The following is a 22,493-nucleotide window of genomic DNA, read 5'->3' as shown; positions in this document are numbered from 1 at the left end:
ACATCTTTATGTAAACAGACATTCAAATTCTCAAATCCCATCTTCTAGTATTAATGGTCTAAGCACAGCATAATTTTATGTGAAGAAAGCAAAGGGGTTGTGGGTGAGGGGGAATGTTTCCAACAGCTGCAAAACACTGCACCTGTGTGGCAAACACTTCTGCATTTCACTATCATCCAGACCAATCTAAAAATGGACAGGGTGAACAAGGCAGGACATGTTTTTGCAACATAGCATTATGCCCATTTGTTTTCTGAAAGTTCTCTAATTGTTTCATGGCTTTATTAAATAGATGGTCATTCTAGATGACAGGAACAGTTCCCTTGATGTATACTTAACAAATTATGAATATTGAGATTACATAATCAAAATAGGAAAAGTTTTATGGACAAAATTATCTATTACTGTCTTCCATACAACTTGCCTAAGGTAAACTCTTGTACCACCACCCTTGTATTCATTAATAACCTTTCAATTGTAATCCCACCTATTGATCTGAATTTCGAGATACAAACCTAGATGGGGATAATCAGTTAAAGAGAAGGGAAAGGGCAAGAACACAAAAGCCTCTCCACTTCTGCTCTCCTACAGAACTCCCAATTTTCACCTGTCCTTGTTTGAGAGGCAAAAATCCCATGCTGTTTTCAAATAAACTATTCTTTAAAAATAACAGAAAGTACATACTGATTTTGTAAAAAATAAAAACTTTAAACATGGCTATCAAAGCACTAAGACTATAAAGAAAACTGAAAACAATGTGTCTAAGGAAGTAAAAGGTCAAAACTCAGAATCAAGTTTTCCATTATCCTTATTACTTAGCTGGTTCTTATTCTTTATATATGATAAAAAAAAATTATGGTCTCTTTCAACCTTGTAATCATCTGAAAGTCTCACACTTGCTCACCATAAAAATGGAGATTCTTGAGGGGGGCAGAAAACTGTTATCAGACTGATATGGTTAGGCTCTGTGTCCCCACCTAAATCTAATCTCAAATTGTAATCCCCATGTGTTGAGGGAGGGACCTGGTGGGAGGTGATTGGATCATGGAGGCAGTTTCCCCCATGCTGTTCTCATGATAGTGAGTTCTCATGAGATCTGATGGTTTTATAAGTGGCTCTTCCCCATTTGCATTCTCTCTCTCCGGCCGCCTCACCTTGTGAAAAAGGTACTTGCTTCTGCTTCTCCTTCTGCCATGATTGCAAATTTCCTGAGGCCTTCCTAGCCTTGCAGAACTGTGAGTCAATTAAACCTCTTTCCTTTATAAATTACCCAGTCTTGGGTATTTCTTTATAGCAGTGTGAGGATGGACTAATACAGAGACTATAACTGAAATTACTTATATTTACTCAAGCACTAATTCCACATTATAATTGTACCCTCAGTTTGAGATATCTGTAACAAAAGCTGTAAGAAAGACTTCTAACCACAGGTTTTTCAACAAGTCCTTATGAAGTATATTCTGGCGAGGTGTGGAGAAAAAGGAATGCTTTTACACTATTGGTGGGAGTGTAAGTTAGTTCAACCATTTGACCCACCAATCAATTACTGAATATACCCAAAGGAATATAAATCATTCTATTATAAAGATATATGCACACATATATTCACTGCAGCACTATTCGCAATAGCAAAGACATGGAATCAACCTAAATGCCCATCAGTGATAGACTGGATAAAGAAAATGTGGTACATATACACCATGCAACACTATCAGCCATAAAAAGGAACTAGATCATGTCCTTTGCAGGGACGTGGATGGGGCTGGAGGCCATTATCCTCAGCAAACTAACACGAGAACAGAAAACCAAATACTCTATGTTCTCACTTATAAGTGGGAGCTGAATGATGAGAACACACAGGCACATGGAGGGGAAAAACCCACACTGGGACCTGTCAGAGGGTTGGGTGGGGTGAGGGAGAGCATCAGGAAAAACAGCTAATGGATGCTGGCCTTAATACCTGGGTGACAGAATGATCAGCGCAGCAAATCACCATGGCACACGTTTATCTGTGTAACAAAACTGTGCATCCTGCACAAGTACCCCTGAACTTAAAAAAAAAAAAATGAAAAAAAAAAGTGAGTTTCTTAGAAGCTATTGATGACATTAAGTCTGACTTTGAACATCAACAGTTTAAATGCACCAATTAAAACATCAGTGTGGATAACAAAACAAGACCCAAGTATAAGTTGTCTGTAAGAAATCCACCTCAAATGTAAAGACACATATAGATTAAAAGTAAAAACATGGAGGAAGTTATACCATGCTAACACTAATAAAACAAAGTAAGAGTAGCTGTATTAATTTCAGATACTGCAAAATTGAAAGCAAGAAAAGTTATCAGTGACAAAGAGGAGCATTACATAATGACAAAGGGGTCAATTCTCTAAGAAGACATAACAATATCTAATGTTTATGTACCTAACAACAAAGTATCAAAATATGTGAGGCAAAAACTGATAGAAATAAAAGGAAAAAAAGGAAGAATCCACTAATATAGAGACTTCAACACTGCTGTACCAGAAATGGTCAGATCCAGCAGGCAGAAAGTCAGTAAGCATAGTTGAACTCAACAAATCATTAATTAACTGGATATAATGAACAAAAGACTACTTCATCAAACAACAACAGAATACACAGTCTTCACAAGCTTACATGGAATGTTCACCAAGACAGACCACATTCTGGGCCATAAAACATGCCATAACAAATTTAAAATAGAAGTCATATAATGTCTGCTCTCAGGCTGCAACTGAATTAAGAAATCAACAGAAAGATAAATGCAAAAATCCCAAAATACTTGGGGATTAAACAACACTTCTAAATAACATATGGACTTACAAAGAAATCTTGAGACACTTTAAAATATTTTGAACTAAATGAAAACAAAATGTACCAAAATTTGTGGGACGTGGCAAAAGCAGTGCTTTTGAGGGAAATTTATTAATGTCTAGTGTTCCATTATTGGAACGCTAAGCATGTGGGAGTTATTCATACCCTACTGCACAAGATCATTGCCAAGGCCTGATTGCAGAAATTCAAAAAATTGCAACTTAAGGCATAAATGACTTAATGAATGCATAAATTAGAAAAGAAAGACCTAATATCATTTATAAGCTTCCACCTTGGAAAATTAGGAAGAGAATAAATTAAATCCAAAGTAAGCATAAGAAAGAGTAAGAATTAGAGCAGAAATCAATGAAATTAAAAAACAGGAAATCTATAGAGAAAAATCAATGAAACCAGAAGCTGGTTCCTTGAAAATATTAATGAAATTAACAAGCGTTTAGGTGGGCTAGCTAAGAAAGAGAGGAAACAAATTACTAATATCAGAAATAAAAGGGGACATTACTATGGATCCCATGGATATTAAAAGGATAACAAAAGAATACTGTGAACAACTCTATGCCCACAAATTTGACAACCTTGATGAAACAGACCAATTCCTCGAAAGACACAATCTGTCAAAACTCACAGAAGACACAACCTGAATAGGACTATACCTATTAAAGAAACGGAATCAGTAAGTAATAACCTTCCAAAATATAAAGCACCAGGCCCAGATGGAGAATTCTTCCAAAGATTTAAAGAAAAACTTATACCAATTCTCTACAATATCTTTCAGGAGAGAGAAGTAGATATGAGTTCAGCATTACCCTAATACCAAAACTAGACAAAGACATTACACGAAAACTTCAGACCAATATCTCTCATGAATACAGATGCAAAAGTCTTCAGCAAATAGCAAATTCCATCCAACATAGTATAACAAGAACAGTATATTACAACCAAGTGGGATTTATTGCAGGTGTGCAATCTGAAAATAAATTAATGTAGTCCATATCAACAGGCTAAAGAAAAAAAAAATCACATGATCTTATCAACAAATGCAGAAAAAGCATCTGACAAAAGGTCAATACCCAGGCCAGGCGCAGTGGTTCACGCCTGTAATCCCAGCACTTTGGGAGGCTGAGGCAGGTGGATCACCTGATGTCAGGAGTTCAAGACCAGTCTGGCCAACATGGTGAAATCCCATCTCTACTAAAAATACAAAATTAGCCAGGTGTGGTGGCAAAATTAGCAGGTTGGGTAGCTTGTAATCCCAACTACTCGAAGCAGGAGAATTGCTTGAACCTGGAAGGAAAAAGTTGCAGTGAGCCGAGATTGCACCATTGCACTCCAGCCTGGGCAACAAGAACAAAATTCCATCTCAAAAAAAAAAAAAAAAAGTTCAATACCCACGCATCAAAAAAAACTCTCAGTAAAATAAACTAGGAATACAAGGGAATTTCCTCAACTTAATAAAGAATACAAAACAAAAATAGAAACACCTACAGTTTACACATGCTTAATGGTGAGAAACTCAAAGCATTCCCATTAAGATGAACAATGAAGCAAGGATGTCTTGTCTTCTCTCACCACTGCACTGCAACATCATACTGCAAGTCCTAGCTAATGCAATAAGAAGAGAAAGAAAAAGTACAGAGGTTGAAAGAAGAAATAAAACTTTGTTCACAGATAATATGACAATATATGTAGAAAATCCAAAAGAACTGATCAAAAAAAACTCCTGGAACTAATAAGCAAGGTTGCAAGATGCAAGGTTAATAGACAAAAGTCAACTACTTTGCTATATGCCAGTAAGGAACAAGTGGAATTTAAAATTTAAAACACAATACCATTTACATTAGCATCCTCCCAAAATGAAATAGGTAAATCTAACAAAACATGTACAAAATCTACATGAGCAAAACTACAAAACTCTGATCAAAGATATCAAAAAGAACTAATTAAACTGAAAGATAGTTCATGTCCATGGATAAGAAAGCTCAATATTTTCTAGATGTCAGTTCTTCTCAACTTGATCTATAGATTCAATGCAATACCAATCAAAATCCCAGCAGATTATTTTCGGGATACTGTTAAACTGATTCTAAGGTTTATTTATATGGAAAGGCAATAGACCCAGAATAACCAACACAATATTGAAGAACAAAGGTGGGAGACTGACAGTGTCTGACTTCAAGACTTATCTAAAGTTACAATAATCTAGACAGTGTGGTATTGGTAAAAGAACAGACAAAAAGATCAGTGAAACAGAACAGAGAGCCCAGAAATAGACCCATATAAATACAGTCAACTGATCTTTGATAAAGGAACAAAGGCAATATAATGGAGCAAAGATAGTTTTTTCAACAAATAATTCTGAAACACCTGGATACTCACATGCAAAAAAATTAATCTAGGCACAGATTTTATACCCGTCCCAAAACTTAAGTCAAAATGGATCACACACCTACATATCAAACACAAAACTATAAAACTCCTAGAAGATAAAAGAGAATCTAGATGACCCAGGGTTTGGCAATGACTTTTTAGATACAACAGCAAACACATAATCCATGAAAGAAGTGATAAGCTGACATTCACATTAAAAAATTTCTGCTCCATAAAAGACACTGTTAAGAGAATAAAAAGAGAAGCCATAGACTGTCAGGAAATATTTGCAAGACATATCTGATAAAGTACTGCTATTCAAAATAGATGAAAAAAATTCAAGAAAACAAATCCTATTAAAAAATGGGCCAAAGAACTTAACAGACATCTCACCAAAGAAAGTATACAGAAAAGATGATCCACATCATACGTTATCAGGGAAATGCAAATTAAAATAATGAGATACCATTACATACCTATCAGAATGGCTAAAAACCAGAACACTGACATCACGAATGCAGTGAGGATGTAGAACTATTACTGGTGGAAGGTCTTGACTATGAGTCATCCTGGTTCTTGGTGTTTTGAACAAAGAATTGGACAAAACACACAAAGCAACAAAAGAATGAAGCAACGAAAGCACAGATTTATTGAACCAGAAGTACACTCAACAGAATGGGAGCAGGCTCGAGCAAGTGGCTCAAGAGCACTGGTTACAGAATTTTCTGGGGTGTAAATACCCACTAAAGGTTTCCCACTGGTTACCTGGTTACACCCTATGTAAATGAAGTAGTGGGTCACAACCAGTCTGATTGATGGTGGAAAGTGACCAATCAGAGGCTTAAGTCACAAAGTTACATCTTTATGCAAATGAAGACTAGGCCGGTGACCAGTCTGATCAGTTGCAGGAGCGGACCAATCAAAGGTACTTTCCATTTCTCATCTGCAATGCAGAAGGTGGCAGAGGGGTTGGGGGTGCAGGGGTTGCACCCCCAACCCCTCTGTTCCCTTGTTACCTGGGCATGGAAAGTTGGGGTTTTCCTTTTGATTCAGTTCTAGGAAGTCAGCGTCAATCAGCCTTAGGTTCCCTGCCTCCAGACGCTATTCTCCTGCCTCAGAACTCTCATTCATTACTGGTAGGAATGCAAAATGGTACAGCCAACTTTGGAAGACAGTTTGGTGGCTTCTTACAAAACTAAACATAATCTTCCCACATGATCCATTAATCATGCTCTTTGGTATTTACTCAAAGGAGGTGACAACTTTATGTCCATAAAAAAAACTTGCACATGGATGTTTACAGCAGCTTTATTCATAATTCAATCTAAACTCTTTATAAATTGAAAACTGAAAAAGAAAAGTTCCCTCTCTTTTGCAAAGACCTAGAAGATTCATTGTAATGTAACAATTTTTTTTTGGTTTTAGAATGATGTTTAATATAGCCTTATTTTTAGAAATTCATATAATTTACATTAGAAATAAGATTTTATTTTTCCTAAAATTGTCAGAAACATAGCATATCGAAAAATAGCTAAAATATAAGATCTTGTGTCTAGAAATTTTTAAAATATGTGTCTGAAAATATTCATAAATTTTCTAAAATGCTTAACCTATTGAGTTGGAGGTGATTCATCTGTCAATGATTTCATAAGCATGGTTTCATTTATCTAAATAAAATATTACTAAATTAGAAAGTTAGATCATTAGCAAATCCAGAAAATACCAAAATAGACATTTAAGACTTTAATGACAGTCTGTTCCTTCCAAAGATGAATTCCGATATCTTTATAGAGCATCCACAACTCAAAAAAGAATGTTTGATAGAATTATTCTTCCTGAATCTGATCAGTAACTAAAACTGAAGTCCTCATTCAAAAAAAGTTTAATCTAAGAGAAGACTCTTAGATGTTAAGTAAATATCAACAATTTACTCTAAGATAAACTATAAAGTTAATAATGAATTGCCTGCTTCACCCGTCCCACAAAGACAAAAGTAAGTCCCGGCAGCTCAAAACTCCAGAGGGAAACAATTAAGGTGCTGCCTCTATCTAATTTGTCAGCTAAAGACACCCCTGTAGTTTACCACAATGTTGGGAAGAAAGGTAGTGGTGATAGCCCTCTGTATCCGTGTGTTCTGCATTCAAGAACTCAACCAACTTCAGATCAAAGATACGTGGGAGGAAAAAAACAAAACAAATGCTAACAATATAACAATACAAAATAATACAAATTTTAAAAACAATACAGTATAACAACCACTTACATAGCATTAACATCATATTAGGTATTATAAGTAATCTAAAGATGATTTAAATTATACAGGAAGATGTGCATGGGTTATATGCAAATTCTACACAATTTTATATGAGGGACTTGAGCATCTGTGGATTTTAGTATCTGTGGGGGTTCTGGAATAAATCCCCCACGGATACCGAGGCACTAATATACAAGGATCAGATTCAAATAAAGACAACGCAATATGTCTACTTAAAATATGGGAGCTTTATCTTACTATATTGCTCAAGGTAGAAAAGTTTGAGCAACCTAACTCTTAGAAGTTTCAACAGATCTCTTCCTGAAAATTATTTTTGTAATTTTTATTACTTAAATAATTATGCTACTGCCTACTGCATGGTGACAAGTGAACAGAAAAACAAAAGCAAGTCAACTTGTAAAGGTTAGATACAAATCTATAAATAATACAAAGCATCTGTGCAATAGCTAACTTGGCACCCAAAGTAATTTATGCTAATGAATACTATAATTTATTAAACATGGTGACAGCTCACTGTAGGAAGAAATTTTAAACATTAACTGTTACACACTGGAGACTATAACAGTTCCTCTAAATTTACACTAAAAGATACAAGTAAAACTTTATTATAACAAAGTCAATTCTGAAGGAATAGTGCTAAACAAGAATTTGGAGATCCAAAAGGGATTTGTGATGTGCACAAATGTGCACATCATTTGGAGATGTGCAATGCAATAAATATAAATTTCACATACAATTAAATACAATAGGTCTTCTACTTTGTAACATTCAAAATTACAATATATGTATTTAACATCTTCAATGATTATCTCCAGTTTTAGTTTTGAGTGGCATAAAAACAGTATGCAAATAAGAAAACTGGAGAGAGCAAACGCACAGAGAAATAAAATGAGTAAGACTTAAATAGTAGTAGTTTCCCCTCCATTCACTGAATGGGAATAAAGAGCAGAGGTCTGATAAAAAAGGAAAAGGGCATTATACATACAGACAACATATAGAGGTGGAAGAATGACCAGAACAAACATATAAACTGAATTTAAAGAAGTTCCCGTCATTGACTTTATGAGAAATGTGCTTAAAACTGATATATATGTTTGGTTTTACCTCTGGAAGAAAACAGACACAGATGAAAAGTCATTCAGGAAACAGAGACACTTAAGTATGTCATCAAGTCAAAAACAAAACTACTTGGTAAAATAACAATTTAAGTAGTTACATTATGTGGTAAAGTAGGCTAAAGACATTTTTATTTATTATAATATATGGAACCTTGAGAGTAAAAACCATGCTTCCCCATGAACACAATGGACAGAATGTTCAGCATATACTGTAGTCATATCAGATTCTCACTTAACATCTACTCTAACTTCTACAACTTCTACTTGTAGTGGAGTGAGAGAATATACACGAATATGTGTGAGTGAATGCTAAAACAATGATACCTACAATTTCCCACAACCATTCTACTTGGCTATTACAGACAATAAACATGTGCTTCAGCCACACCTTGAGATGGGAAATATGACTACTATTAAAACAAATCAGATAGAAGCCATTAGCCTGAGCTCTGTAAAATGGAGCTCCTACGTTAAGCAAATCAAAACCCAATTCAATGTAAACAGGATAATGAAACTTAACCTCAACCACTCAGAAACCATCAACTAACCTCTAGCTAGGATCTTGCCACTCTAACCAAATATATTTTCTTCATCTTACTTCTGTGTTCAGGCTATAAAAGTACACTGCCCACATGCTTCAGAGCAGAACTCTCTCAACCTCTTCTGGTTCTGAGTGCTGCCCAATTCATAAATCATTCTTTGCTTAAATAAACTCTGCTAAATTTCTTTTGTCTAAAGTTTTTCTTTTAATAGTTCTAGTGTTAGAAATGAGGGTCTGAAGGAGATCCCACCAATGATAACCCACAGGAGCAATGAGTAACAGGCATAAGTGCCCCCACTGAGCCCCTTGAGTTCATCACTTTTTGCTGCGCATTTGGAGGTCACCATTGGTAGGTCCCTCTCAGGTACAAGCTTAACTACTTGTTTTGAATTCTCTTGACTATGAGCATTTCCGATCCACACTGGGCCTGTAAGTCATGACAGAGACTATATTGGGTCTAGCAGGAGGCCCAATATAGTCTTATATAAGGTAAGTTAGGTAAGTTTGAGAAGGCTGTGAATCATGGGTTCATCTGCAGACAAGGACTCTAGAACTCCAACCATCTGGAACGTCAGCCAATTTTATGTTTAAGAACTAAGGGCTCAGAACCTGTGATTTTTTTAGAGAAATGAGTGAACCTTACCAAAGGTAACTCAAGAGTTACAGGGGCCACAGTGATAAAATTTCATTTGCAAGGCACATTAGAAAAACAGGATCCAAAATACCTCAGAAACAAGAGTTCTGTTTGGGGTTTTTTTTGGTGTGCAGAAGAAGCTCCTAAAAGACTCAAAAATTGCCTCTCAAAGACTCCCTACAAAAGGCAAATGAAAAGCTTAAGCAGTTGATTTTTTTTTTAATTACATGTTGACTGACTTAACTCTGACCCCACCACCCCACCCCATCCTCTGCCTATTCTTTATCTACTAAGCTTTTAGCTCAGTTATCTTCCCAACCCAAAGATGAAAAGCTAGACAAATGCTTTATAAAGTTAGGCCCACACATCAACCAGGTCTGTATCTTTAACCACCTTTATGCCTTGGTCAAAATCTTGAGCTCAGATCAAGCAAAATTTTCTCTGTCCCAAAGGAAAACCCCCAGAAATTTGCTGAGGAATTCAGAATTCTCATTGGAGGACAAGATCCAGGACTTCTTGATCCTTCTAGCCAAATTAGTCTCCAAAATCTGCCCTACTGGCATAAGGACTATTTTTAACCAGTTATTTTTAGACTGTTTTGTAAGGGAAATTTACATCTATAAAAGAAATCATTTGTCTCTCTCTCTGCACCAGAGAGAGAAGGACTGAATCACTAGGAATTCTTAGAATGGAGAAGGCAATGACTTAAACCTATATAACTAGCTTTACCCAAGCATTTAAGAAGCTTTTCCTGGCCATCTTGTTGTAACTGGGGCTTTACCTACACTCGTCTTTCCTTGTTTCAGTAAATGACAGTATTGAAGCCTGAAGCCTTAGCTCTGTGCCTTTGAGATATAAATGCTCTACCTAGTCTAACCTAAGAGCAATCCCTTTAGACATGCAAATTTAGGGAAGATGACTCATCAGAAGAGGAAAACAGGGGTACAACTATTTGGAAATTGGCAAATAAAAAATCTTCAGTCTTTTTCATAAACATCAATAAGAAGCGTAGCCATCTGGCCAGATACACAACTTGAATCTAGCTATTTTTTTTTTTAATAAACAAGTGAGTTTTGTATTTAGACCTGGCACACGACTAAAATTTTAGAATGAGAGCTATATGATGTTTATATCTGCCTATATATTTACGTACATGTGTTACATTTTTGTGATATTTTTCGACATCCGGATGGTATTGCCAAAGACAATTTATAAAAGAGCTCCATTTAATCGGCTTAAAGAAAAGTAAGTGCTTATGTAAATTAAGTATAGCTGGCCCACCATAACCACAGGTTCTGCATCTGCAGATTCAACCAACCATGGGTCAAAAATACAGTATTTGCAGGTTGCAGAACCCAAGAATGAAACCACCTTTGCAAAAACTATAACAGTAAGAAAATTATGACATTGAAAGGGATCTGATCTAACCAACTCCCATCTTGCCTTCAACCTCCAAAATGTCTACTTAGTCATTCCTGGGGCTTGGGCCAAGCTAACTTTGGGAGAAATTTAGATTACAATTCAATAATTTAGATTATAATAATTTAATAATTATTTTATTTTAATTTTATAAATTATAATCTAAATTATAATTTATAAATTATAATCTAAATTATAATTTATAAATTATAATCTAAAGTATAATTAAGATAATAGTTTAAATACTAACCATTCCCCAAAACTAAACTGCCTATGTAAAACTAATGAAAGACCACAAAATTAGGAAGATGAGAGGAGCCCAAATTCTGCTAAGGTATAGATATCAATTACCAGACATTATCCTGGCGATCACAAGATTTACAATCTCCCCAATTACTCCTACATCAGTATTGTAGAGCCTAAGACTAGCCTTTTGATACGTCTTTTCAAGCTTTTATGTTTCGGACCACCAACAGCCCCATCCAGACCCACGACCCTTGACTCAACAGGTCCTTGTAGCCCCTACCTAGAAGCAGACTCAGCACACAGGGACCATTTCCACACCGCTATGATTGCATCCACAACCAATTAGCAGCACCCATTCCCTTGTCCACCAAACTATCCTTGAAAAACCCTAGCCTCCAAATTTTCAGGGAGGTGGATACGAGAAGTAATAAAACTCCAGTCTCCCATTCAGCTGGCTCTCCATGAATTAAAATCTTTCTCTATTGCAATTCCCCTCTCTTGATAAATCAGCTCTATCTGGGCAACAGGCAAAATGAACCCACTGGATGGTTACAAGAATACAGTGGGCTAACTTTTTGTATGTACAAGGCCAACTGTGGAACTTGAGCATCTTCAGATTTTGGTTTCCACAGGGGGTCATGGAACCTTGACAGAAGGAAGACTGTATTACTTAAACTCTTAAAGACAATGGAACTAACCCAAAATGTTTTTAAAGTTCACATAACTTGGGTAAATCTTGGGTAAATAAGACTAGCTCAATATTGTTGGTTTAATACAAACAGCTGTGTCTTCTGAGTTACCAGCTTTAAGTATAATACGAGCATAACATTTTATTTTACCTGCTTTTACTAGTCAAATAAGTTTGTTATCTTTACTAGATGTTTAAGATTATAGAACTATGGGTTCAACCTAAGAACAAATGTGCAAGTGAAAGTGCAACGTCCAGTTTCCAAGTGCCTTGTTACAGTAGGTAGCTAGTCAGGTATAAGCAGGGCAGGAGAGGCCCCCTCCCCCAACACACACACACACACACACACACACACACACACACACACACAGCCAGTTATGTTAGGCGACCATCAGGAGATGGCCAGGCAGTTGTTAACTGTCTCTCTAATAATTGGTTGCAGCCAGAGCCAGGGATCCGCAGTCTCCCAGTAAACAGAAACACCTGAAATTGGTGATCAGCAGCTTTCCAATAAGATGTCAGGAGTCGGGCGAGTGGGCTCCAGCATATGCATTAAGAAGCAACATGGAGGATTTTAACTGATATATGACCTTCCAGGGACATGTGAGTGGTAAGGGAAAAACACCTCAAAAGAGCATGCATACAACTCCAGTAAACACACTGCATAGGCTGGCCCCTTCCAAGTGCTAGCAGGCCACTGCACATACAAACAGCCCACCCCAAGGGAAGAATCATGGGAAAAGGGATGCAAGACCCCAGAAGCATGCCACCATATAAAACCCCAAGTCAAAAGGTCAAACCGCACACTTAATCTCTCAAGTCACCCACTTGGCCCTCTTCCAAGTATACTTTACTTCCTTTCATTCCTGCTTTAAAGCTTTCACTCCTGCTTTAAAACTTGCCTCAATCTCTCCTTCTGCCTTATGCCTCTCAGTCGAATTCTTTCTGCTGAGAAGGCAAGAACTGAGGTTGCTGCAGAGCCGTATGAATTCGCCGACAGTAACATACTTTGGTGCCGTGTCTCTGATACGTTCCGCTGCTAACAGCATCATGTATTATACAGCACAGCAGTAAAACAAACAAACAAAAAAAACATGTATTTAACTTAAGATTCTTGCTTTCACGATGACTACCTAACATGCACATGCTGTAAAAATAGCTAACAAGGAAATAACTTGATAATGGCTAGCTTTGTTTTATGTTATAATACATCTACTTAAAACCAGTTTCCAAAATCTGTTAACTTACACTATTGGAGTTTTGCTAAGTTAAATTAAATGACAGATATTCATTGAATATCTAGATCATTTCCACATAGATAAAATACTGAAACATTAAGTGCTCAACTTAAGTTATCCACTTTTGGCTTATTTCAGAACGAAAGATATTCAGGTCTGTTAGTAATCATGTCCTGTGTCCCACTGAAAAACTGTACCATGAAGAAGCACATGCTTCTAAAAATTAAATTTACAAATTCCAATTACTATATGGTAATTAAAACTAGAAATAATAAGGTAAACAACTCTGTATGGAGGAAAGTAAGACATGTTTTTGGTTAAAAAAAAAGCTATTAAGGTATAAAAGATGTGTTTTTGTTAAGGGAAAAAGTAACTTCCATCCTAAAGAAGAATGACTGGTTGTGCACAATGGGAAGGAAGACGGGTATAGGGCAAAACCTATACCCACACAGGCAAAACCTATACAGGTATAGGACAAAACCCGTGCCCTATAGGGCATTCATATGAATGCATATGAGAAAACTGTAGACATGTAGAAAAGCAACCGTGAAAAAGGAATTTTATGTATGGTCAAGGTGGCTAGGACGTGAATGAATTTTATATTTAAAAGTTACTTTAAAAATGATGACCCTTAATATCAAAAGTACAGTGGTAACAAACTTTTCTTGAAGTATTGGTCTGTTCTTGCTTTATTAGGTCTTTGCTTAAGAAAACCGAATTCTTCATATTAAAAGAGCTAAGGTGCTTTTTTTTTTTTTTAAGCAACTGTGTAACTTTCTATATTTGTCTCTAAATTACCACTCTGGTTAAATCAGTAGGTATTACTTCAAGTGATCTGTGATCTACTTTAATCAAGTATTTTTAAACCTCTGATATTTTTGACAAACTTTCCCAAAATTCTATTCCATTATTCCGTCTTTTTTTTTTTTTTTTTTTTTTTGAGACGGAGTCTGGCTCTGTTGCCCAGGCTTGAATGCAATGGTGCGATTTCGGTTCACTACAACCTCCATCTCCCAGGTTCGAGCGATTTTCCTGCCTCAGCCTTCTGAGTAACCGGGACCACAGGCATGCACCACCACGTCCAGCTAATTTTTTAATTTAGTAGAGACAGGGTTTCACCATGTTGGTCAGGCTGCTTCCTGCCTCAGCAAACATCTGCCTGCCTTGGCCTCCCAAAATGCTGGGATTACAGGTATGAGCCACCATGCCCAGCCTCCATTAGGTCTTTCTCACCTTGAACTAACTTCGGTAGTTTCCAGGGGATTCCTAGAATATCTCAAAAGAATCTGTTCTCTCTCCTCATAAAAAGAGAGATGTTAAACTACCTTATTCAGTATGTTAAATTTACACGGTAAGCACTGTCAAATAAGCAATGATGTTTAACTTTCCTTGAGTTATATTTGCCTGGGTATGTTACTGAGTGTTCTAGAAATGGTATGAAATTCCTACAAATCTGATATGTCCTGTTATGATGTTACCAGTCATAATTTTGATTTTTATGTTAAAATACTGATGTCACAAAAAATAAAATTTCCTTGTCGATTGCATAATAAATTCTTATCATAGCCATTTTAAGTCCTGTCATCCAGAGATAATTTTTACTCTGATGCTTTCCTGAAAGCTTTTGCAAGCAACTATAATCCTAAAGTGTTTCGTCTTCAAGGAGATTCATGGAAGAGACTCTGAACAAGTACAGGTTTCTTATAACTTTAAGATTATACCATTGCTCTGGCTAAGAGTTTCCACAACACTATTAAAGAAACTGGTTCATAAAATTGTTAAACTGACATCAAGCAGAACAGGAATTACATGAGACTGAACGACTGATGAAGAAAAATTATAGGTTATTTTTATGGCCTTTTTGTTTAAAACACTGCTGATTCTGCAATGTTGTGCTTTGCAGATTTAAGGAAACTTTTTTCTTTTCTCTTAAGCTATCTCTACAACTTTCAACAATTTGGTAAACTATACCTTTGTGAATGAAGATGAAACACCTTTTCTCAACTATCTGATCCCTCCAGAATTCAGAAACCGTAACCAAGTATTTCTATTTTTATGGCAATACAATGTAGACCAAAAAGTAACTGAGACAAGTCTCAATCAATTTTGAAAGTTTATTTCGCCAAGGTTAAGGACCCACCCATGACACAGCCTCAGGAGGTCCTGTCAACATGTGCCTATGGTGTTTGGGGTACAGCTTGCTTTTATACATTTTAGGGAGACATAATACATCAATCGAAACATGTAAGATTTACACTGGTTCGATCTGGAAGATGGGGAAAACTCAAAGCAGGGGCTTCCAGGTCATAGGTAGGTTTAAACATATTCTGATTGGCAATTGGTTGAAAGAGTTATGATGTATAGAAAGGAAGGGGTTGCAGAGACCTAGGTTTTTATCATGCAGATGAAGCCTCCAAGTAGCAAGCTTTAGAGAGAATAGACTGTATATGTTTCCTATCAGACCTAGGGTCTGTGTTGACATTAATACTAGAGAGGTATAAATGAGACGTGTCCAACCCCAACATAAATGAGGCATGTTCAACCCCCACTTCCCATCATGGCCTGAAGCAGTCTTTCAGGTTAAATGTTAGGGTGCCCTAGCCAAGGAGGAAGTCCATTCAGATGGTTGCAGGGGGCCTTCGAATTTTATTTTTGGTTTGCAGTAAGTTACTTGCATAAGTTCAATAAAAATCTGTTCTCTTTGTAACAAGTTATAACTGGAAACACTGGTTATAATACCAAGGCTTTTGACCGGAAAGTCATATTTGAAAATGTACATAGAGCTGGATATGGCCAGTTTTAAAGAACTAAGGTTTACTTTATGAAGCCATGAAAGCCCCTTGGAAAAAACTAGTGTGGTACGAGGCTTTAAGGGTTTCCTGGCCTTAAGAGTTGAGTAAGGCAGGCCCAGTAACTTTAAAAATATTTTGAGGACCTTGAGAAGAGAGGAATTCATCCAAATCTATAGGTATTACGGGCAAAGTCTACTGGTAAGTCTTCAGCATGGCTTCATAGCCTAGAGAGGCTTTTAAAAGTCTAATCTGAGATGCCTTTAAAAATTCCAGCAAAGCAGATTTAAAGAGAGCCTATATGGTCCATCACTACTCTCGCTGCACGTATGTGAACTATCAAGCCAAGTTTAATGAGACTAGACCTATTTTGCAAACAAATTAGTCTTATTGTGATTATCTTTGATAGAAATGGGAGCAGCTGTAGAGAGAAAAATTATGTTTCAGTAGAAAACTACAGGGCACCCTTGTGCATATCAGATTCTAGTCCTGTTCATTGTCCTTGACATTGTATCTATAAACTGCTTGGTTTCTGACGCCCTACAGGCGGGTACTGGGCAACACTCATCCCTGCTGATGAATGGGCCACTCAGGGAGTTCACCAAAATGCCCATTGCCATAACCAGAAACATTCAAACTGCAAACCAGGGAAATATGCTTTGAGCTCAAATCTAGAAACCTTGACCAACTGCCCTCCGGACACAGAGAGTGAGTTTATGGTTTGTTCTAGCCATCAACCTTTTTATTTTACTTGGTTCTGTTCATGGAGGCCTTGGCTAAAGAGCATACACCAGTCCTTTGATGACAGTAGTCCCTCCTCCCTCCTTATGGCAGTTTCACTTTCTGCAGTTTCAGTTACCCCTGGTCAACCATGGACCAAAAATAGATGAGTACAGTAAATAAGATATTTTGAGAGAGACCATATTCGCATAACTTTTATTAGTATATTGCTACAATTCTATCATTGGGTTATTGTTTTAATCTCTTAACTGTGCCTAATTTATAAATTAAACTTTATCATAAGTATGTATTACAGGAAAAACATAGTATATATAGGGTTTGATAGTATCCATTTTCAGGCATCCACTGCAGGAGTAATGGGAGTCTTGAAACATACTGCCTGTGGGTAAGAAAGAACTACTATTATCCTCCTGATAGTGCCCATTGTCATCTCCCTGGTGCACTGTATTCTTTCTAGTGTCTTAAATGAATGTTTGCAGCCATCAGCAATATGCCAAATGGTCTCACTGCAATTAGAGCAACAAAAATAAGATGAACAAGAAAGGAATACTTCTTCCATGAGCCTGACATCATGACTTTTGTATTCCATACTGAGACCAAGTAAGTCACTATAATGGTGACAGAAAGTGTCAACAATGCTCAAAGTTTTAGTCAAGCACTCAAGATGGAGAGGCTGACAAAAGGAGAAAATTGTTAAAGCAAGTAAGGAGGAAGCCATTAGCCTGAAGATTTTCTCTGTGAACAGAACTCCTCTGTAAGCAAACCAAAACCCAATCCCGTGTAAACAGTAAAACAAAACTTAAGCATACCCAATCAGAAACCACCAACTAACTTCTAACTAGGGCCTTTCCACTTATGTTTTGTCTTACTTCCACATTCAGCCTATAAAAGCTCACTGCCCATCACTGCTTTGGAGAGGAGTTCTCTGGATCCCTTCCGGTTCTAAGTATTGCCCAATTCATAAATCATCCTTTGCTCAAATAAACTGTTTAATTTATTCTGCCTAAAGTTTACTAGGCTATCTCTCCCCGCCTTCAGCTGCTCTCAGTTTCCATGTAGCTTATATAGTGTACTTCAACCCTGCAGTATGATTTTAATGTTTAAAATGTATAATGTTCCCTAATCCTTTATCCAATATTAAAAGAGTCTTTATACTATACTGGAGGGGGAAAAAAAACTGGCCTTTTTTAGACACCCTACTGTAGACTCTAAATGCTGAATTTTGCTTTATTCTCTGATTTCAAAAACCTAACTTCAAAAAACTTGATTCATAAAATTTGAATCTGCCAGAAAACAGTTTTCTGGACCAAGTCAGTAAGATTGATCCTTAACACCATTTTAAATAAACAGTGAAAGCATCTTCAAATTCCAGATTAGGACTAAATTCAAACTTATTTTCCTACATACCATCTCTATTTGTTAAGGTCTGTTCAACAAATATTTATTGAGTAACCAAAAACCAGGTGCTAGGGAATACAAAGATAAGAACTCAGAACCTTCCCTAGAGCTGCTGATAGTACAGTGACTCTTACTACTTTGAAGGACAGAGATCCTTTTGAGAATTTAATAAAATTTATGAACCCTCACCCTGCAAAAATGCATACATATTCAAAAATGTACATATAATTTCAAGGAGCTACTGCTTACCTGGAGTCCATTTATCTCTTCCTTAAGATTGATGGACCACTGTTTAAGAACTCCTAGTCTAGTAGAATGTGAGATTTTTTTTTTTAAAGGGGGGAAGTGGGAATAATTCCAAAGGAAATTTAAAAAACAAATACATGAAATACAAAATTGTGCAGATAGTACAGTACAGGGACAAAGATCCCATAGTGGGAGTCAGATTATCTGCACTCAAATCTGGTTCTGCCACTTACTGACTTTGGATGAGTTTCTTAACCTCCCTAGGCCTCAATTTTAAGAATTAAGTGAAACAACCCAAGAAAAACTTAGCACAGTACTGAGAGACAGAGGCACACACACAAGCACAGACCTGGAATCCCTTGAATTGAATTGTTAAAGTCTCTACAGTTGAAGTCTACACATATCCTCATAGTAAACACTCACTTTCTTAAAACTATCCTTATAACCAAAAGAGCCCAACTAAAACATTATCTCCCTCAAACCCCTGAAGTAGCTAAAGTAGCTAATATTGCCTAAAGTAGCTAATGGCTTCTAAAACCCTTTTAAATCCTAAGATGATCTTATATGGCAAAACCATTGATTTTAAGTTTATCTGCTTTTATTCATTCAGTGTATCCTCCCTTCCTGCAGAACAAGGATTAGGAAAAATAAAAGTATGGCAACAACCCTGTAATAAATTGGTAAAGCTGATTGTGTAAGAACATATGTAAAAGTCCTTGCAAATTAAAGCATAAGTAACTTATTTATATTCATATCATGTCTGTTCTAGCTAGCATATGGTCTTAGCAGAATTTTGACTTGCCACTTTAAGTTGTTTTTTTCCCCAAATTTCCCAACATACTACTATAGCCTATTTAATCTTGCATTTTAAACATCAAAACCCATACACTATGCTTATATATTTTTACTTACTTAACTCCTGTGTTTGTACTATGGTTCTTCATCACTACACACTTACTGATGTAATACCAGTGTCTTTTATTATTTTAACCCTTAAATAATTTATTAGCCAAAAGGAATTTTAAAGAAAACAGGTGTCGAAAAAAAAAAAAAAAAAAAGCAATCTAAACCAACCTTGCAGCATAGTATACTCCTATTTTTTTAAATGCATTTGGACTGATATTCTGCCCAAAACAAAACTCAGGAAAAGACTCTCCTAAATCATCCTAGTTTCTCATTTCCTAACCCAAATATTAGAATTTTTTAAAAGGTACTGAATATTTTCAAAGTAAATGAGTAATATTTTTATCCTTTTTCATTCTTGGATAAGATGGCATTAATATAATTTATAGCTATTTTGTATTAAGTTCAACCTTGTACAATTTTTTAAAAATTAAAGAATTTAAGTTGTTAAAATTTAAGTAAAATACAAATTTTGTTTTAAGTAATGCTTGCTCCGCAAGTTATATCATTTAGATGAATAAGTATCTCTTCACAATAAAAAGCAACGGGCAAAATGTAAAAGAAAAAAAAAATCTCTTGAGGCAAGAAATACTAGCTCCAAAGTTTATGACTTAGAATCTCAGGCAAGTTACCCTCTGTGGGACTCTAGTTCCTCATTGTAAAATAGGATGTTTTGTAACTATGCCCAGCAGCATGGAGAGAGATAACCTAATATATCTTAGATAGATTAATAAGTTATCTTTTCCCAATCTCAGCATGAAATAAAAAATAGCACGTTTATAAAATAACACAATATACTGCTACTCCAACCTTCATCTGTCTCTACCATAGAGCTACTGGGATAAAATGACAGTTCTTAGAGAGATAGAAAACTCCAAGGCAAGGCTCCCCAAGTCTTTTATAATGCCTGAATTTTTCACTTACTGCCAAAAATGTTTTACCAATCAAAGATATTAATAGAATCTGAGTTAATCAAGATCTTGTACAATCACCTCTGAGATTAAGGGGTTACCAGCTGGTAAGTCAGTCAGTCATTTCAACACTACAACTGATTCTGTGACATTAAGTATGAATGTCTTGAAAATAAATGCTATATATATTATATATAAAATTTATATATAATTTCCTTGTAACATTCTTTAAGTAATGATTCTCCACTCTTAAAGCAAAAGGACTTCATTTATATCAAGATATTCAGATTCCCCATAACAGTACTTTTGATATCCACTTATATTAAGAAAATATGACCAAATTCTACCATGCATATAATATTTTATATTTTAATCACAGCAGTATTGAAATACCATTGAAAAATAATAGCACAGTATGAAAGGCAAATTATTTATTAGGTCTTCAGACAAACTTTATAATGGGCACAGTTCCCAAAATGTTCTCAGTCCACAGTTGAAAACTACTGCCATAAATTCTAACAGAAAATTGTAGAATTGTAGGCAATCCAGCTACTACACATTTAAGGATAAAGAACAATTTAGAGAGGCAGGGCTAAACTCTGATTCCATATTGGCTCAATCCTCACTAAAGATAATCACATTACCAAATTTTATCATAAAATCATACAATTTTTATGAACAGAGCTCTACAACATTATATTATGAATTCATTCAATCAAATGGCTTACCCTAACATTTAGTTTAAAGTAGATGACTGCCAGACTTGGTGGTGTGTGCCTGTAGACCAGCTGCTCAGGAAACTGAGGTGGGAGGATTACTTGAGCCCAAGGCCCGAGTAATTACTTGAGGCTAGCCTGGGCAACAGAGCAAGACACATCTCTTTCAAAAAGAAAAAAAAAGTATCTGAATTGAGGGAATAGGGGGAGTTGGAACTTAGTAAAGAGAGAAAGGAGAAGAGGATATGTGAAAAAGGAAAACAGTATGTCCAATGGTTAGTGGATGAGCTTTCAAGTCATGTTGCTAAGGTTTTTACCCAACAACGTTAACTCCATAACTCCTCTCCCTGCCCTATAAACTTGGACAAAGTGATTAACCTAATCCTCAGATTCCTCATTAATGATGGAAAACTAGCCCCTACCTCATAAAACTCTTAAAACTAAATGAGATACGAATGAGCATAAAACGTTTATTTGCCAAGCACTCAACAAGTAAACCTATTCCATACAGAAAATTTTGAAGTTATTGAGCACTTAGAAGTTATTGAATCTTTTAAAGTTATTGAGCCAAGATTATAGTAAAAGAGCAGAAAGCTTAGGCCAGTATAAGTTGGAAAACAGAAATTAAAGAGATGAAAAAGTATAAGAGAAAACACTAAAAGCCAAAAATAAACTTACTTTCTCCTCCAACTCCCACAGAACACGATCCAATGCTCTGATTCCCTAAACTTAAACCAACAGTATATTAGTGCTAAAATAGGATGTGGTTTTAAATAGGCTTCTGTGGGCTAGCCCAGGAACTTAAAACCAGTGTAGTAAAACATGCTCCAAGTTCAAACAACTGTTTTACACACAATCTGGAAGACAACGTATTCAAAAATTAGGGACTGCCTGTTTTTCCTTTTGAAATGAAAAAGTTTGTGAGAAAATATTCTCTAGGAATCCAAATGTAATTCAAAGAAATTATTCAAATTAAATAGAACATGCTGCTAAGTATTAATCCACAATATAAAATCCTGTAAAATAACTGAAAAAATATTTACAATTCAAAGAGCATGATGAATAAGAACTTCTCAATTCTTTCTCAGAATGAAGTACTGAAACCCTTAGAAAACTTCTTCATCCAGACAAAAGTTTTACTAGACATTAGTTTTCACTTTTGCCAATAGGAGCTGAGCTTTCCCTTATCTGCCGCCACGGTCCTGTAACAGACTCAAAGAGCCATCTCTCCATTCTACATGTTTAAAGAATTGTAGAAAGCAGTTTAATGAATGGGAAATGAGGAACAAGTATAAAGGAACATTCCCAATCAGGAATATGAGCAAGGACTTAGAAGATACCACTTCCACTCTAAGCTAAGAAGTCCTTTGTGCCTAAAAATAAGGAAAAATTAAATCACAAGTCACTGGCTGA

At 36.0% G+C, this 22,493-nt stretch overlaps 1 protein-coding gene across 2 annotated transcripts in view, besides 3 other annotated features; it reads right to left on the bottom strand.

Moving 5' to 3' along the window:
* The window catches only part of LEMD3 (LEM domain containing 3), a 78,773-nt gene that overhangs the window by 42,115 nt on the left and 14,165 nt on the right, over positions 1 to 22,493 (bottom strand). The gene's annotated exons all lie outside the window — the stretch shown is intronic.
* Positions 58 to 117: a silencer, noted in NCBI's record as "silent region_4631". NCBI's record gives its function as "represses an Ori minimal core promoter by ATAC-STARR-seq in GM12878 lymphoblastoid cells {active_cell/tissue: GM12878}" and the evidence as "EXISTENCE:reporter gene assay evidence [ECO:0000049][PMID:35858748]".
* Positions 5,638 to 5,932: a silencer, noted in NCBI's record as "tiled region #14888; HepG2 Repressive non-DNase unmatched - State 16:ElonW". NCBI's record gives its function as "represses a minimal TATA promoter and a strong SV40 promoter by Sharpr-MPRA in HepG2 cells {active_cell/tissue: HepG2}" and the evidence as "EXISTENCE:reporter gene assay evidence [ECO:0000049][PMID:27701403]".
* Positions 5,685 to 5,885: a silencer, noted in NCBI's record as "peak1763 fragment used in MPRA reporter construct". NCBI's record gives its function as "represses an SCP1 promoter by STARR-seq MPRAs in K562 erythroleukemia cells {active_cell/tissue: K562}" and the evidence as "EXISTENCE:reporter gene assay evidence [ECO:0000049][PMID:32103011]".

Source organism: Homo sapiens, chromosome 12 (assembly GCF_000001405.40).
Source record: "Homo sapiens chromosome 12, GRCh38.p14 Primary Assembly".
Classification (NCBI taxonomy): Eukaryota; Metazoa; Chordata; class Mammalia; order Primates; family Hominidae; genus Homo; species Homo sapiens.
This window is presented reverse-complemented; position numbering and strand designations above follow the sequence as displayed.